This window comes from Homo sapiens, chromosome 2 (genome assembly GCF_000001405.40).
Source record: "Homo sapiens chromosome 2, GRCh38.p14 Primary Assembly".
Classification (NCBI taxonomy): Eukaryota; Metazoa; Chordata; class Mammalia; order Primates; family Hominidae; genus Homo; species Homo sapiens.
This window is the reverse complement of record NC_000002.12, coordinates 12074809-12094145: the sequence shown is the minus strand read 5'-3', so window position 1 is coordinate 12094145 and position 19337 is coordinate 12074809. Positions and strand designations below refer to the sequence as shown.

Sequence of the window (19337 nt, the reverse complement as noted above, 5' to 3'; positions counted from 1 at the left end):
TGGCAGTTGCCCCTGCCATTGAAACACTCAGTATTTGGGCCACCAGATTTGTGTGGAGGTGTGTCCAGGCAATCAAAGATAACAGACAAGGCAGGCACTGGCTTCAGAGAAGCAACAACAGTTAAAGAGAATGGGCTTCTTCGAGGACCTTTTCCCGATATTCTCTCTCGTCACTCAGCCAGCCAAGACTAATTCCCTGAATGGAGTAAGAATGTCTGGGGTGCATGAAATGGAACTGTCCAAAGAGAGTTAGATCGGGGTACTCTGGGACAAGAGAAAGATACTCATGGTTGGCAAGGTGGGGGCTTGGAGATTTGATTTTTATATTAAAATAAATGTGCCTTCCTTTTGCACCCCAGATTAGTGGAGCAAGTTTTTTTTTACATTTATTCAACAAAGCATGATGTGCTGATTTTTATTATGTTGTATGCTAAAGACATAAGAATTAAAAGTTGATGTCCATAAGGGACTTGTCATTTAACAGGAGAAAATCTTTCTTAAACCTAACTCTAACTACTTCCCTAATTTACTTACCCCTAATATAGGTATAGTAAAATTAATTGTAACTCAATGAGTACAAGAAAATAATCTCAAAAAAGCTTTTCAACCCTTTGGTAGTTCTGATAATGAATATTGCAGTAAATTCATTTTGGCAAATAGTTATTCATATAAAGAACTGTGAATGCCACTAGGGACAGGGTGATTTATAGAGATATGGATAAAATTTATTTTACACCTTAAATAACAATAATGGTCATTATACAGACTAAAATGTTGAATACACAGTAGTGTTTTCATTGCTTACACCAACTTTATGAAGTAGATACTATTATTATCTCCACTCTCCAGATGTTGATTTCAGTCTAATGATTGACATGTATCCAGTTAATGGTAATACAAGGCAGGAAAAAAAATAAGGACGAAAGATATATATAAATAATGTAGTTAAGGAAAGGAGAAACAATTCCAGGGGGGGAGGATAAACCCGGGATGTAATAGAATAGTTATATTTCAGTTGAACTAGAAGAATGAGAATAAACTTCACCAGCTATAAATAGTTCAGTGTAAAGCCAACTTGCAATAACAGAACCAATATCAAGTCAACGCCCGTATCAAATAATCAGTCAAGATTTGTCTACTTACACAGAGCAAACTTTTTGTGCGGACTTGGTAAGCTCCAGCAGGAGCAGCATGTAATAATACTGTTTCTCATTTAGCCTGTGGTTTTTGTCCACTTTCTATTTACACATTGTGTTTCCAGGTCCCACAAAGGACAGAAGACAATGTTTTCTTTGAGCTCCTGGACAAATCCAGTGCTAGCCCTGGAGAGAATGTCAGGAATGGGGTCTAGAAAGTTCAGCTAAACTGGGAAGGTGGATTCCCAAAGCATAAAAAAACCAAATCACATGTGGTAAGAATGGTTGATACAGGCCAGGCACAGTGGCTCACACCTGTAATCCCAGCACTTTGGGAGGCCGAGACGGGCAGATCACGAGGTCAAGAGATCGAGATCACCCTGGCTAACATGGTGAAACCCTGTCTCTACTAAAAATACAAAAAAATTAGCCGGGCGTGGTGGCGGGCGCCTGTAGTCCCAGCTACTCGGGAGGCTGAGGCAGGAGAATGGCGTGAACCCGGGAGGCGGAGCTTGCAGTGAGCCGAGATCGCGCCACTGCACTCCAGCCTGGGCAAATGAGTGAGACTCCGTCACACACATACAAAAAAAGAATGGTTGATATGGGAAAACATTCTAGTCAGAGTCAGTGTCAAACATCAGGCCTGGGGGTAAAACAAGACAACATGGGAAAATATAGCATGCAAATCTCAAGGTCGTGAAGATATGGAGAAAAAGGTATGGATAAAAAAACTATGAATGAGACAGAGATGGAGACTCTCACTTAGGTAGGACGTTTCTGAGTGTTGGGTCTTATCTCTCCACTTTGGCTACATTTAGGGATGAAAGGGAGCCAAGACCAGAGTATAGCTTATTCCCAGCTGCGGAGCAAGACATGGCTACCCAAGCTGAAGGACTTTCAGAATGAAAGCCCAGTCTCAACACAGAACAAATTGAGAACTGAGTGGTTTAGTTTGGAATCTACATCACCAAATTCAAATAAAATAAATCCAAAAATAAAGTCAAGATCGGACAGATAAAAAGTAAAAACATAAGGGTGACAAGGATAATAGAGCCCAGGTCTAGAGTATTGGTCAAGCTGGCCAGTAACACACTGCACTGGGGGTAACCAGACCCTGCAGTTTGGGAGAAGAGGGGGTGCCATTCCAGATGTAAGGGTATCAGGGAAATGGGCATAGGCCCAGTGGCTTTCTCATAAGGCTAACAATTTAGTTGTCGGTATCACATGCAGCTAATCTACTCTGTGTATATAGTAATTTATAATTTTCCATGCATATTCTTTACTGGCATATCACTTATTTGAAACCAACTTGTGGGGAGAAGAGAGTCGGTATGATTAGTTCCATATACCCACTATGACTGTGCCAAGCTTTTGGAGATGTTCCAACCCGTAGCATTCTTTAGATTGTTTTCTTTTCTTCACAAATGTGAAGACCTTCCATTGCTAAGAAAAGTAAATATGTCAGTCTGCTCTGTGCTCACCACCCTCACTATGTAATATAAAATTTTCAAAGTAAAATTACTGATTTATTTCTGCTTCTTACTCACCAGAAGAATGATTACACCAGTGTCATATAGATGGCCAGCAGGGTGTTAGAATTCTGTCTCAGAATGTTAACATTCTTTTTCTGCCTACTTCCCCAATATTACTTTCCAGTTTTTGAAAGCTCCTGGCTTTGTGAACTCACAGTAGCAAACCATGAATGATAGATGAGAAGAAAAATTCTATCCTTTCTAACTAATAAACTGGAGGATTTCAGACAATGCTCCCAATTTCTCAGACAAAAGGAGATTCCGATTATTTGCAGGAATATAATAACATAAAAAACAACAACAACACTTGTATGGAAAACAAAATTATTTTCATGGGGCAGAGGAAGGAAATAAAAATAAAAGAGGAGAATTAGAAAGAGAGGTAAGTAATTTATGTTGCAAAAGGTATAATTTTTTTCCTTTCATGTTTCAATGCTTTTGTCTACAACAAGGCAATCTGAAAATAAAAATTGTTTACATAGACGCCCCTCACCTGTCCTACTCAAATCTATCTTCTTTGCCTACTGCATGGTATTTTAAAAATTGGGTCTACTTTATTTTCCATTGTGTTCATTTTAATTCAACCAACGTCATGATGGAATTGTGACTATTTCTTAATCAAAGCAAACAGCACACAACTCAATCCATCCGGACTTTCACCAACCATGCTGGCTCCATGAGACTGTTCAGCTCTGGCCACACTGAGCCGCCCACCTCCCTGTGGCTTTGATCCTGGGCTTGATCCTGAGGCAGCCAGGGCAGGAGCCCAAAAGGACCAGACTGCTGGAAACCACTGATTCCCTCTCTTCCCCACAGAGACACATTTCAGAGTTTTCATTCCTGTTTTGCCATTTAGCAGCTTTCTAATCATAGGCAAGTTACTTAAACTCCATGAGTCTATTTTTTTCTAATCAATAAGTTGAAGACAGCAATGTCAGCTAAAGTCTCCTATTAAAAACTAGCTGTAACATATGCAAAGCATATAGTGTCTGGAACATAATGCATTAAGTAACTGTTAACTATTAACTCTGGGTTTTTTAATATTAGAAATTAGAGAGTCAGTCCTCCTTGATTAAGGACATTAGTTATTGTTTCGGTTATTCTTATAAGTGCCTATTCTTGGTTATTACACTTAATTTTGTCTATAAGTGTCATAACTCCAGCATCTGAAAATGAAGTAATAAGTTAGCCAATGGTTAAAAAAAAAAAACAGTCAGCATATTCTCTCATTTCCTTTTTGATTAATACTATCAATCATAATTATATCATTAGTGGAAAATGGCATGCAGATCAGCTTGTATTGTATTAGAAACAGCATTCAAGCTCAGAGGAAAGAGTCCCGGACTTGGAACCAGGCAGATTTGAATGACGAGACTATCCCTTAATTGTTGTTTTGCACTTGGGCAAGTCAGTTAGGCTCTTTTTTTCAGCTTGATTCAGAAAAGTATCCATTGAGATCCTAGGACTGTTTTAAAGGCTAGAGATGCTGTGATAACAGTATAACCTCTAAGAGTTACCATTTCCTCATCTGGTAAATGAGTACAATAAAAGCCAGCATCAACTCTTGCCTGACAACAATAAACCTTTAACTGTTCTGTTCTCGCTCTTGTCCTGTTCCTCCCCCTGCCCCACTGCCCATCTTTTCTCCCCACAAAATCAACGCAATCTGCTAAAATATGTAAATTGCAGATCAGCACACTCCCTTGCTCAGCCCTCATCCGTGGCCTCCTAACACAAGCAGAGCCAAATCTGTGAAGCTCTGGGCATGGCCCCGAGGCCCTGGGGCCTGCCCTGCCCACTTTCCCACCACATATCTATCTGCTTACTGTCCCCTCTGCTCGGTGGCTCCAGACACACTGGCCGTCCCTTCTTCAAACGTGCTGAGCTCTTTTCTACCCAGGACTTCTGCATGTGCTGTTTTCTGTGCCTTTTCCTTTGAACTATGAAGCATTTGATCCCTCCCCTTAGTAAGGCCATTCCTCCAATGCCACCTCTCAGAGAGACTTTCTCTCACCTTTCCATCTAAAACAGCCACTCTTATTCTCTCCATCTCCTCATCACCCACTTTGCTCTCACCTTATTTAACTTTCATTCCTAACAGTCACCATTGCCCATAACTATTTCACATATCTGTGTATTTATTTAGGGTGTTTTTCCCACCATAATGTAATCTTCCTAGGGGCAGGATCTTGACGCTGTGTTCATTACATTATCTTTAGTACATAGACCAGTGCCAGCACATAATGAGTGATCAACATATTATTTGTTGCCTGTCTCTGAATAAACAAATGACTCCAAGTCCATGTGATGATTAAATGAGATATGATAGGTAGTGAGAACTAAGTGCCTGGCCTCAAGTGGATATTGAAAGAATGAAAGGGAAGGACAAGATTCTTGTACTGATTCAAACATACCATGATCCTACACACAGGATTTATGGACACCCTGATTGTCTTGTTATCATAACAGGTCCTCACTGTATTGTGCAAGCACAGTAAAGGAGAATGGGAGTTCTTTGTGTTAGAGAAAATGAGAATGAAATTGTTCATTCAAGAACAAAGCAAAAAATGCAAGGGCCCAGGATGGGGATGCACACATCTGAGGCTAGGGACAAGGAGGAAGTTGAAACCCAGGCCAAGAAATGACCATGATTTCACAGCAGCCTTGCCTGGGAAGAGAGAGGTCTTAACTGGAAAGAAAGGGTTAGGGAGAAACTCCTTGGGGAGAAGAACGTTAAGGCTTTGGTGATACTGGAGGCTCAGCCCTGTATGTGAAATGTCTCAAAGAGATAGGAAATTCTTTTTTCTTTTTGAAGACTCTCCATCTCCCCATTTTCTTACATCAGTGGTCTGTTGATCCTCCTACCTAAATGTGTGCCCCCTCCCTAGGGTCCTTGCCACAGCTCTGTCTCAGGTGTTTATTATCGCTCACCTGGACAATTGCAATTACAGCTCATTATTGACCATCTTGGACTTGCTCTGCATGGCTCTAATTTACATTATATTTAAATTTATCTTCATGACTGATTTTATCTTTTTACATTCTTAATTGTATTATTTTCTGAAGGAGAAAATACTAGAGTTTGAGTAGAATGACATTAAGTTTAAAAATCTGCAGCAAAAGTTCTCAAAAATTGTCATGAGGGGGGCATTACAAAGGGAATCCATATATGCTACTGATGCTCAATTGCCTTCTCTAAAGTCTTACTAGAGGGCAATTGAGCAATATGTGTCAAAACCTGAAATAATCTAGCAATTACACTTAGAGGAATTTTTGCCTAAGGCAATGTAATGGTTAGCTTTATGACTCAACTTGACTGGGCTAAGGGATGCCCAGAGAGCTGGTAAAACATTATTTCTGGGTGTATCTGTGAGGGTGTTTCCAGAAGAGATTAGCATTTGAATCAATAAACAGAGTAAAAAAGATCCACCTTCACCCATGTGAGTGGACACCCTCTAATCTGTTGAGAACCTGCATAGAATGAAAAGGAGGAGGAAAGGCAGATTTGCTTTGAGCCAGGACATCCACCTTCTCCTGCCTTCAGATATCAGCACTTCTCACTCTCTGGCATTTGGACTTGAACTGAACTACACTACAAGCTTCCCTAGTTTTCCAGCTTGTGGATGGCAGATCACGGGACTTCTCAGCCTCCAAAGTTGCATAAGCCAGTGTCTCACAATAAACCTCTTTCTATCTATCTATCCTATTGTTTCTGTTTCTCTGGCCAACACTGACTAATGCAGAAAGTAACTGAAAAATTATTCAAATGAATATATAAGGCACATTCATTGTATCATGATCTTCAATAGTGAAAAACTAGAAACATCCAAATTGGCTATCATGTGATATAAATAAGTTATAGCACATTTAAGGAATATATTATACAGTAAAAAGATAAGATATATTGAAACATACACATATATGGATAAAGAGTTATAGATATTGTTAAAGAAAAACTTCAGCCAAATTAAATGTAACAGAGTTTAAGTGAGTGGAGTATGATTCATGAATCACACAGCCCACTGAACCAGAATAGGTTCAGCGAGACTCAGGTGCTGCAGTGGGGTTGAAGAAAATTTATGGGCAGGAAAAGGCAAGAGACATACAGAAAACAGAAGTGAGGTATAGCCACAGCTGGATTGGTTACAGCTTGGTATCTGGCTTATTTGAGCACTGTTTGAACTGTTAGCCACCTTTGAGCAGCCAAAACACAGTGATTGGTACAACAGTAGGTTACAGACTGTTTACATGCCTAGTTAGGTTACAGTGGAACATACATAGGTTCGACTATGTATGGAGAAACCTTTAGCCATTACTTAAAATATGTAAGGAGGCAGCTGTAGGCTAAACTTAGTTTAACATCATAAATCTAGAATTATATATATCAGCCAGGTGCGGTGGCTCACGCCTGTAATCTTAACACTTTGGGAAGACAAGGTGAGCCAATTGCCTGAGCTCAGGAGTTGGAGACCAACCTGGGCAACACAGTGAAATCCCATCTCTGCTAAATTACAAAAAATTAGCTGAGCGTGGTGATGTGCACCTGTAGTCCCAGCTACTCAGGAGGCTGAGGCATGAGAATTGCTTGAACCCGGGAGACAGAGGTTACAGCGAGCCAAGATCACACCACTGAACTCCAGCCTGGGCAACAAAGCAAGACTCCGTCTCCAAAAAAAAAAAAAGAAGTATATATAAGTATATGGATATATAGAAAGATATATAAATAAAGATGAGAAGATTTTTCTCACATATTGTTAAATGTGAAAGGTCACAGACTAGTATATATAGCTCCACTTTTATTGAAAATAATATAGTATTCACATATATGTACTTATTAACCACATTAAAAAGTTTAAAAGCTAAAAGTATATTTGCCAGTTACCAACAGTTCTCTCAAAAAAGTAGATGGTAGAGTTTTTATTTTGTTTTCTATATATTTCTGTATTGTTTGATGTGTTAAAGGTTAACTGATATACTTTAACAATAAGATGAATTTTAAAGAGATTTCTGTCTGCGAAAAAATAACTTTCATGTGCTACTTTTTGTTCTTTATGGTATATACTTATTATAGTTCTGTCTTTATTTTGTAAAATGTACCCACGAAAATATGAAGATATTCTGTGTTCATGCTTGCAATCTATCCAGTTTTGGGTTTTTTTTTTTTACACAGAGTCTTGCTCTGTGGCCCAGGCTAGAGTGTAGTGGTGCTGTCTCAGCTCACTGCAACCTCCACCTCCCAGGTTCAAACGGTCGTCCTGCCTCAGCCTCCCATGTAGCTGGGATTACAGGCGCATGTCACCATGCCCAGCTAATTTTTGTATTTTTACTACAGACGGGGTTTCACCATGTTGGCCAGGCTGCTCTCAAACTCCTAACCTCAGATTGTCCATCCACCTTGGCCTCTCACAGTGCTGGGATTACAGACATGAGCTACTGTGTCTGGCCCCACAAACTATCCAGTTGTTTAGGAACATGTGTATACCATGTATTGAGATTTACCCTCGTGTTTGCTTTGAAATAGATACAAATATAGACCGTTAGAAAAATCAATGTATTTTTAATACATTCATCTTATGATATTGTAGATTAAAACAAATGGATTTTAAAATCCAATATAAGAATGTGTGTAAAGATTAAACCCTGGAATCAAAGATGCTTGTGTATCTGGGAGCGGATATAACAGAGAAATGGCTAGGTTGGAAGAATTTGAGGGAGTGTTTCCGAGTAACACCATATTCAGATTAGACTATTGTATTTTTAGTTTCAGTTTATTGTTTTTTAAATTTATCAAAACCTTTGCTCATCCTTCTAATCTAATCAAAGGTAACGGGCTTTATTTTGAGACAAACATGGTTTAATAGAACACAATTTCTAAGATTCCGAGAGCCAAGCTACATGTTACATATTAACTTTATGATCATGGCTTTGTCACTGATTCCTGAGACTAGGTTTCTTCATTTGTAGAACAATAGGAGGTGTTCCCTCACAGAATTCCTCCTAAGGGAAAAGTATTTTCAAAATTATTATCCCTTTTTTGTCAGCATTCCTTCAAAATTTCCAGAGGCCACCCTGGTTGCTAGTTCTCAGGATTTTTTTTTTTTTAATAAAAAGTCTCCACCAGGCACAGTGGCTCACACCTGTAATCCCAGCACTTTGGGAGGCCGAGGCGGGTGGATCACCTGAGGTCAGGAGTTTAAGACCAGCCTGGCCAACTTGGCAAAACCCCATCTCTACTAAAAGTACAAAAATTAGCCAGGTGTGGTGGCGCATGCCTGTAATCCCAGCTATTTGGAAGGCTGAGACAGGAGAATCGCTTGAACCCGGGAGGCGGAGGTTGCAGTGAGCTGAGATCACGCCATTGCACTACAGCCTGGGCAACAAGAGTGAAACTCCACCTCAAAAAATAATAATAATAAAATAAAATTTTAAAAAAGGTCTCATTGTTTGAGTCCATGTAGGAGGGATGAAAGGTTTGGAGAGTTCGAGAAAAATTTGGATTCAAATCTTACCTCCACAACTTACTTTCTCAATGTCCACAGACAAGCCAACATAGTTTGCACCCTCACCTGAAAAGTGAAATTTCTAATCCCTGCTTCACGGCATGGTTGTGCAACTCAAATTAGACAATGGATATAAAAATGCTTCATAAACTATTATGTGTCTTATGGATTAAAGCTAGCATTAATATCATGGATACTGACAATATATATTAATTGCTGATTCTTTTCATATTACATTAATAATATCAATTAGTGCTATTTATAAGAATTATAGGGTGATAATGGAACTTAGAATCATGGCATAATAACCTACCAAGCTTTAGAGTCAAGGGTCTCAAAAAATATACTTTGATATCTGAAGCCTACATATTATCTGAACTTTTATCAGGTGCCTTGGTGGGTCCAGGTTTTTCTAGGAAATGCAGTGCCTTGGAAGGTCCTGTATACAGGAGTGATAAATGCTCACCTGGCTGGAGTGTGTTTGTAACCGGAAAGGGGTCCTGATTCAGACCCCAAGAGACGGTCTTGGATCTCGCACAAGAAAGAATTTCGGGGGATTCCATAAAGTGAAAGCAAGTTTCTTAAGAAAGTAAAGAATAAAGAATGGCTACTCCATAGGCAGAGCAGCAGCTTGGGCTGCTGAACTAAAAATACCTGTAGTTATTTCTTGATTATATGCTGGACAGGGGATGGACTATTCATGAGTTTTCCCGGAAAGGGGTGGACAACTCCCAGAACTGAGGGTTCCTCCCCCTTTTAGACCACATTGGGTAACTTCCTGATGTTGCCAAGGCATTTGTAAACTGTGATGGTGCTGGTGGGAGTGTCTGTTAGCATGCTAATGCATTATGATTAGCATATAATGAACAGTGAGGACGACAAGAGGTCACTTTCCTCACCATCTTGGTTTTGGTGGGATTTGGCCGGCTTCTTTACCACATGCTATTTTGTCAGCAAGGTCTTTATGACCTGTCTCTTGTGCCAATCTCCTATCTCATCCTGTGACTTAGAATGCCAAACCTCCTGGCAATGCAGCCCAGCAGGTCTCAGCCTTATTTTACCCAGTCCCTATTCAAGATGGAGTCACTATGGTTCAAAGGCCTCTGACATTTTGGCCGGCACAAAAGAGCCTCTCTCTCACTCCCCCTGACATTTCTGTCTCACTGATGGCATCCTGCACTGTGAGGGGATTGGGCCCTGACACTGGGCAGAGCCAGGATGCTTGTCCCCAGTGCACACAGTCTGTGTCCTTACTTCGTGCCTTATTTTTACCTTTTAAAAGAACAAGGAGTCTAATAAAATAAAATGATGTATGTGAAGCACTTTGTAATGCAAAAAGAGCTAGTACTGATGTTGGCGTTTCTTCAGGGTTTTTATTTTCATCATTTATGTTAAAAACTATATTGGGAGCCGGCTGGCCCGCCATCTGTGGATGCACCTTCTGTAGAGCACGCTGCGCGTGCGATCGCTGTGCTCTGGGTCACTTCTCATGCTGTACTGGGAGCAGTTGTTAAATGGGACTTCCGAAGCTGCAAAGCAAGCATTGTGACCCCTTATCATCATTATGTGAACTTGGCATTATCCTCTTGCCAAAAACATCTGCCTGAAAGATTGCTGCAGGAAGCAACTGGTAAAAAGTAAGATTCTAGCTTAGCCTGTCATTCACTTTGCTCGAATTAAACCCATTTGCATTTCTAAAATGTATTAGTTCTATTCAAAGCCTGCCATAGAAATGGAAATGGCCTTGGGGAACAGCCTGTTCCTAATCAGTGATCCTGGAAGATGAGGCAGTGGCTGACTTTGAAACCCAACCTAGCTTTCTCTGCAGGAAACCCCAGATGCAAGTTTCCAAAGGTAATCAGATGTAAATGCCACTTTCCTTCTGAGTGCCACTAATTACCCAGGGTCCTGGCACTCGGAGCTGTCAGAGCTGATTCAAGAGCCAGAGAAGAGAATTTCCTCTAGAGGATATGAGACAAAAGTTGCAAAACAATAACAGAAACCAAAAAGCCATTCTTTTTATTGATTTACTTATTCATTTTTATTTATTTATTTCTTTATTTACTTACTTATTTTTGAGACAGAGTCGCGCTCTGTTGCCCAGGCTGGAGTGCAGTGGCACGATCTCGGCTCACTGCAACCTCCACCTCCCGGGTTCAAGCAATTCTGCCTCAGCTTCTTGAGTAGCTGAGATTACAGATGTGCACCACCACGCCCAGCTAATTTTTGTATTTTTAGTAGAGACGGGGTTTCACCTTGTTGGGCAGGCGAACTCCCAACCTCAGGTGATCCACCAGCCTCAGCCTCCCAAAGTGCTGGGATTACAGGCGTGAGCCACTGCTCCCGGCCCAAAAAGCCATTCTTAAATCTTTAGTGAACTTCTTTTCGATAGGAAAGGCAGAAGTAAAGCCACTGGTTAAAAGCTGAAAGGGTTCTAAAATTCTGATTCTATAAAGGAAGGGAATAATGAGCAGTTAAACTCAGAAAAACAATCAGTAGGAGAAAAAAACGGAAAGTTATTTATTTATTTATTTACTTATTTATTTATTCAGGTCAAGGTCTCGCTCTGTCACCCAGACTGGAGTGCAGTGGTGTCATCTCAGCTCACTGCAGCCTCAACCTCCCAGGCTCAGGTGATCCTCCCACCTGAGCAGCCAGGGTAGTTGGGACTATAGGCATCCACCCCCAGGACAGGCCAATTTTTTTGTAGAGACGGGGTATCGCCATGTTGCCCAGGCTGGTCTCAAACTCCTGGGCTCAAGCGATCCGCCTGCCTCGGCCACCCAAAGTGCTAGGATTACAGGCATGAGCCACCACAACCCACGTGTTTTTTTATTTTTTAATGAGCCCCTAAAAATTGCTACTGAGAACTGGTATGTTCGAAAACCAGCAATGATGATCCATGAGTGTGTCATCTGTCCCTTCACACGAGTCTATAGGCAGCGCCAGCCCAGCACTATCCCAGACATTAGTTGTCACTCTGAGGTCAGACAAGTGCCCCACATGATTTATGGGTCTTTGGGGGAGTTCCCAAACTTTCATCCATGTTTCCCAGAGCCAGATTCTTCTGGGGTTAGAACTAGGCTCGCAATTATAATTACAAACATGGATTCATAATGTAACACCCCAAAAAGTCCAAACACCCATAATGGGTATTCATTTGCACTTTGCAAAACATCACCCAGACGCTGCATCCACCAAGGTGCTTGAGTAGTGAGTGAGCCTAGCACGTGTCTGCATGGCTCTGTGATTTGCCACCGTTACTGGGTACACGACAGATTTTGTGAAAGATAAAATGCTTCTGAGTAAAAAACAGCTCTCACATGAAAAAAAAAAATGCATGAATAAAATTTAAAAGATTTTTCTTAGAAAGGTATGCACAGGAAATACCTGCCTGTTGATTGAAATGTGATTTGGGGATGACGTCTTCAATCTATTCTACCTTTTTTTTTAATTGGTGAATTTTGAGATTTACAGAAGTTCTCAGGCCTGGCCCCCTGTAACTGCTGAGGACCTGCTGTATTTGCCTGCCTCAATTCCCACCTGCCCTTTTGGGAATTCCAGGCCCTCTTCAAAGTTTAACTATTTCAGGGAGCCTACAGGAGATACCACATATGTTTATTCAATAACTAATTATTGTGCCCCAACTGCTGTACACTGTGTCTAACAATGGGAATACAATGGTTTTTTGTTTTTGTTTTTTTTGTTTTTGTTTTTTTTTGAGATGGAGTCTCGCTGTCTCCCAGGCTGGAGTTCAGTGGCGCGATCTCGGCTCACTGCAAGCTCCGCCTCCCGGGTTCACGCCATTCTCCTGCCTCTTCCCCCCGAGTAGCTAGGACTACAGGCACCCGCCACCATGCCCAGCTAATTTTTTGTATTTTTAGTAGAGACGGTTTCACCGTGTTAGCCAAGATGGTCTCGATATCCTGACCTCGTGATCCGCCCGCCTAAATGGTATTGTATTGAAATAGAAGTGGCCTCTGCTAGTATGGAATGCTCCTATAAAATCATCATTTATTTCCCTCCTATTCCGATCCCCAGATGGACTAGGCATCGGATTCTCTGGAAATCTCAGACATTGCTGATGATCATGAAAAATGAAATCATTATTGTACCCGGTTCCTACGGCTGCTGAAACATATTACTACAACCTCTGTGGCTTAAAACAACACAAATTTGTCAAATTACGGTTGTGTAGGTTGTGTGCAGATATTTGGAATGAGTCTTATGGAGCTAACACCAAGGTGTCAGCAGAACTGCTTTCCTTTTGGAGGCTCCAGCTGAGAACTCATTCCTAGCCTTTTCCCTCTTCTAGAAGCAAATCACTCAAAACTTTGCCTTCATCAGCACACTCCTTCCCTGAATCCGGCCCTGTCACTTCTCTCTTATAAGGACCCTTGGGATTACCTCGGGCCCACCAGATGATCCAGGGTAAACTCGCCATCTCAAGATCATTAGCTTAATCACTGCTGTGAAGTCCCTTTCGCATGTAAGGTGACATCTGTGTCAGTTCTGGGATCAGGTTATGGCCATCTTTGAGGAGCCTTTATTCTGTCTTGCCACAATTCCTGTCACTGCCAAAGCTGCTGACAAATGCTACTGGGAGCCCCAGTGCACAAGATAATAGTATCATTTTATGTCACTGGAAAAAAAAATATGCTTTCACAGTTTCTTTATTCTTTTAAAAGTATGTTAAATCAAGTTTAGCCTAAAGCTGCTTCCTTACATATTTTCAGTTCGGCCTAAAGATTTCTCTGTACATCATGAGCTATAACGTACATAGAGTTGTAAATAGACTGTAGCCTACGCTTGTGCCAGTCACCGAGTTTTGGCCAAAGGTGGCAAGTTGTTCAAACTGTGTTCAAATAAGACTGATGCCAAACAGTAACCAATCGGGCTGTTTCTGTACCTCACTTCCAATTTCTATAAATCATTTTCCTTTCTCTGTCCATAAATCCTCTTCCACCACGTGGCTGTGCTGGAGTCTCTGAGCCTACTCTGGCTCAGAGGCTGCCAGATTCACAATTCTTTGCACAATTAAACTTTTTATAATTTAATTCGGCTAATTTTTTTCTTTTAACAAGGGTTTATTACACACCTATTGAGTGCCAGCATTATTCGCAGAGCTGGGCTTAGTGATCAACAGGCAAGATAATGTTCCTGCCCTCCAAAAAACCTGTATTTCTCATTTGGGGGAAACTGGCAGTAATTACGCAAAATGTAACCAATATAATTTAAATATTGACAAGTCCTCTGAAGAAATAGAGAAGAGTGATACGGCGTGTGACTGGGGAGGTGCTGGCCACGGGAGACCTTTCTGAGGAGGCAGGTTGGAGCTGAGACCTAGACAGGTGCGGAAGCAGCTAGGAAGAGAGCCCGAGGAGCCCTCCAGACAAGAGGGAGCAAAGGCCGTGGGTAGGAGTGCACTTTGCACACTGGGGAAGGCCAGTGTGGCCGCGGGTAGGGAAGTCAGGGGAGAGTGGAGCTAGATGGAGAGTGGCGATACCGGTTGAGGCCAGATAGCAGAAAGCCTTTGTAGGCGTGGTAGAGGACTTTGGCTTTGTCCTGGGAGCAATGCAATGCCAAGAGAGGTGTTTTTTTGTTTTTTGTTTTGTTTTGTATTGTTTTTAAGTGACCTAATCTAAATTGCTAAATGAACTCTTTGGTTATCTTATGGAGAATGGACTTTTTGGGAAGCAGGGATATGGGTTTGAAGATAAGTTCAGTAATCTAGGCAAGAGATAATGGTAGTTTATAGTGTAATGGAAGTTATATAATATATATTTGTATATATATTGGTCTCAGGATATATTTTTGAATATTTTTTATCCTTCTGATGGATGAAGATGCAAAAAAAAAAGACTCAAGGAAAACACATGCTTTTTTCTCAAGAAGATACGTAGATTTGCTTAGGAAGAATGGGAAAACAGCAACTCAAATGGATTACAAAGATTGGTGGGGGCAGCAGAAGTGGAGTTCCATTTGGGATAAGTTAAGTCTGATGGCTACTAAACTTGGAAGAGGAGATTCAGATCCACAGTTGGAGATCTGAGTCTGAAGCTCAGAGGAATGGCCAGGGAGAGAAACATAAATGAGGAGTCATCAGAGATACAGAGACACCCACACCATCTTCTGTGGGTGACCTTCTTTCCAGGCACTCTGCTGCTACCACCAATGTGGTCAGTTCTCTGAGACCCGGATGCTGTAAAGATGGATGGACTCTAGGAAAGAGGAGTAGCAGACCCTGGGCACAGAGAGTTATCCATGTCCTGGAATCCACAAAGCCAATTTCAGCCTGAATGAGATTCCACTGATCTCTGGCCCATCCCAAGTCCCTGTGTGGGAATGGGGGCTCACCAAGGAAGGAGCCACCAGGAAAAGATGCCACAGTCTAAAGGAGAAACTACACTCTGGTGTCCTTGAGGGCAGGCATCAGCAGCAGCCTGGGTGTGTTTGTCCCAGACCACTTTAAAAATATTTAATTATTTGCCAATATATTAAACTTTAGAGGGTTTTCTTCCTCTTGAAAATTATGAAAAGGCATAATAATCCAGAGCCCACATTTCCTCTCGGCAACCATCAGCTGCAGCTGAGACAGCAACTCTCTAGTCACCACCGTGCTCACTCAGAAGGGCATTAAGCCCTGCACCTTAAATAAATAAAAAGGCAGATTATGCAGAGGAAGAAAAAAATCACCATTCCTGCCACTGGGCCAATAGAATCCCCAGCCAAAGGTTGCCACCCCAAAACACTGCTGTATTCCACTGAGCAAAGGAATAAGAGCCACTTGCTATAAAGGTCCAGTCCTCCATGAAGGAGCCTGGTCACCCATCAAGATTTAGAGACATGGGCTTGAAAAGGTCATGAAAAAATCAGCTCTCACTTCTTGCACAATTTTCTAGTACAAAATTTTTCTTTGCAGAAACATAGCTTACATGACACCTAGATAGCAGCTTCTAATGTACCTTCTCTCAATTACCCAATGCCACCCCACCCCACAAAAAAAAAAAAAAAAAGCTTGCAAATACAGAAAAAAAGGTGAAAACTCAAAGCACACCAAACAACAAGCCTGACAGGCAGCTAAAAGTTACAATCTGGAATTTTCTCCTAAAAAGAACAGATTTTTAAGAAAAAAAAAAAATAGCCAGGGTTAAGCAAGTAGTAGACTCCCATTTCTCTAAATAACGGTGCCCTTTCATAAATCCCCAATATCATCCACTGGCCCAGGGACCCCAGGCCCATCCTCACCATGTATAGCCATCTGTCATATTAACCTATCATGTGGTAATCTGAGTATTGATCTCTTTCCTCAATCAAGGCTATGACCATCTTCAATCTCCACACCAAATCTAGAAAATAAAAAACAACTGGACATGCAAGTTATATAGAGTAGTGCTGGCGCATGTTATCTCAGAGGTTAGTCCCATCAAAGACAACTCCTGCCCAGTTGTTAGGCAGGAGTCCCTTGCTTTTTGAATATCTGGTTAAAATTGATTCAACCTCCCATTCTATTTCAGTGCATCGTAAGGGTACTCATATTCTCAAGAGCATCCTTTTTCTCCTGGCTCAGCAGGTGATATCTTAGCAGTGCTTCAACTCAGATCCAAAATGCCTCATCTTCCTTGATTCACCAACAAAAATTATTCTTTCAAAGGACCAGTGAATACAGCAGAATTTGCTCGAGATGACCTGGTTGGAGGCACAGAGAACAAAGGAGGGTTTGCATAGCAGAACTATACTGAATCAACCAGGTAACACTAAGCTAACAAATGACCCCCAAATCTTACTGATTTCCAATAATAAAGTTGTACGTTCATTCACCCTACATGCACATCACAGTCGGCCCTGGCTCTGTTCCCATTTTCTTCTTCATGGACCAAAGCCAGCAGAGCATTTGTTACCTGGAAGAGGGCCAGTCATCACAGAAGAGGGAATCACTCACTCACAAACGCTTAAAGCTTTTGCTTGGAAAACCACGCACATCAATTTCACTCATGACTGATTGACCAAAGCAAGTCACATGGCTGAAACTGAGTACTAAGAGTGTGGAGATGTATAATCCTCCCACAGACGGTGGCACCAAATATAGATGAACAGTAATACAATCTACCACATTAGCATTTTAAAATGCAGGAGTAGATATCATCATCTTAAAATACTTTGGCAAGACCCTAGGAGGCTCAGTAGTCCTCACCTCTCTACTGCCTCTTTCCCACCCTCCAGAGCAATACAATTCTTCCCCTTGTCTCATGCAAAACTCCTTAAATTTTATCTGTTGTCAATACACAAACCCTCTACCCCAACCCCTTATCTCAGAATTTTGTTCAAGCAAGGAATGTTGGTGTCAATTGCTAAAATAATGTTTCCTCTGTCTGATTACATGAGAAAATTATAATAATGTTCCCTCTGTCTGATTACATGAGAAAATTCTAAGTAGGAGTGGTAAAAAAAAGAACCCTGAATGCTGAAAATGGCAATTTTGCATCATAATTTGTGCCAATTCCAAATACCAGAAAAGCCACAGTAGGCTTAGGGAGAAGTTGCCATTTTGGAAGGGCAGAGGAGTGCCAAGAGAAAGCTTTCTAGAAGCTGGGCATTGGGTTTAGACCCACTCATGCCCATCTACCTTCAGCTCTAGCTCTAGCTCAAAAAGGATTCCAATAAAACCCATGAATAGAGAGCAGGGCCCAGGGCACTCTGTTGGCAAAGACCTATTCAAGATGTATCTCATCTTTGTTTTGTTTGTGAGGTTGGTAAAAGAAGAAAGCATCTTTTAGTGGGTTTATTGGCTCTTTGCATAACTTTCTTCTAAAGTGCATGTTCAAGCAATTTGTCCAATAAGAAAAAAGTCAAATAACTCTAATTTTTAAAAGGGGCAAGTGATTTGATCAGGGACTTTGCAAAAGTGCATGCCCAAGTGTCTAATGGACAAATGAAAAGATACCAACACTTATCTTTAAAAAATTAACTAAAATAAACAACAAAATTACTATAATATAAAGTTTTCGTGAGGATGTACTGCAACTGAAAATCTTAAATATTGAGAATATAAATTATTACAAACACAGTTAAAGGAACTAGTTGGTTGTATCTACTAAACCTAAATATAGACCTACTGTACGAACCACCCTGCCCAATCATAGTTTCATACCCAAGAGAAATGAGTACGTTTTCCCACAAAAAGAAATAAACAAGATTATTTACAGCAGGCTTATTCATAATTGCCAAAAGCTGAAAACAACCCCACTGACCATCAACAGAAGAATGAATACATAAATTGTGGTATAGTCAAATAATGGACTACTTATATACAAATTAAAAAAAAAAAACATTGATACACACATAATTTGGATGAATCTTTAAAACATAGTATGTGCAAAATAAACCAAAATAAAAAGTGCATACCACATCTATATGCAGTTCAAGAGTAAGAAAATCTAATTGACAGTGATTGAAGTCAAAATGTGATTATTCTGAGGTGGAGTATTGATGACGAAGGCGCAGAAAAGAACCTTCATGGGTCCTGAAAATATTCTCTGTCTTAATCTGTATGGTGATTACACAGATGTATATAAAATTTTATCAAGCTCTACATAAGGTGATCGTTCTTCATGTGCTTAGTCTGTGTGAAACACATTTATGCTTCTTATTTCACCAAAAAAATGGAAACTTTGCCCACTCCCATGAGAAAACTAATTTTCCCATTTCAAAAATAATCTTGAAACTGGGAGGTTTAAAAAACAATTCAGGGTGCATCTTGAAAGACTGGTAAAAATTGATCAGGTAAGAAAGAAAATCAAGTTTCAAAGACTGGGAAGCAAGACAAAATAAGAACCATTGAGTATTATAATCAGTATGGAACCAACAGGAAATACATGTGAAATATTCTAGATTATTAACAACTTGAGAAACTTGCTCTTGGATTTCCAGAAAAATAGGAATCATGAAAATGCAAAGTCATCTAAAAGGCCTACTTCAATGATTCATTTACATGAATTAGTTTTTCACTCTGGAAAATAAACAAAGAAACGGGTGCTCTGTTCTTCCTGAAGATGGAATCCAGCAGTTACCAAAGGATGCCAGTCTGGCTTGAATTTTAGCATCTACATCCTCATCCCAGATGCACGGGCAGAGGATTAATAAAAACACAAGTCAAATTGTTTTCTCTA

General features: G+C 40.7%; 1 long non-coding RNA gene across 3 annotated transcripts in view; it reads right to left on the bottom strand.

The window, feature by feature from the left end:
* The window catches only part of MIR3681HG (MIR3681 host gene), a 571233-nt gene that overhangs the window by 484203 nt on the left and 67693 nt on the right, over window positions 1–19337 (bottom strand). Inside the window, exon 3 of one of the 3 annotated variants that reach the window (NR_110198.1) lies at window positions 10528–10697. The exons of the other annotated variants lie outside the window; for them this stretch is intronic. This is a non-coding gene — a long non-coding RNA (MIR3681 host gene). Of the gene's footprint in view, window positions 1–10527; window positions 10698–19337 lie in introns of those variants that run through there. 3 annotated transcript variants of the gene reach the window in all.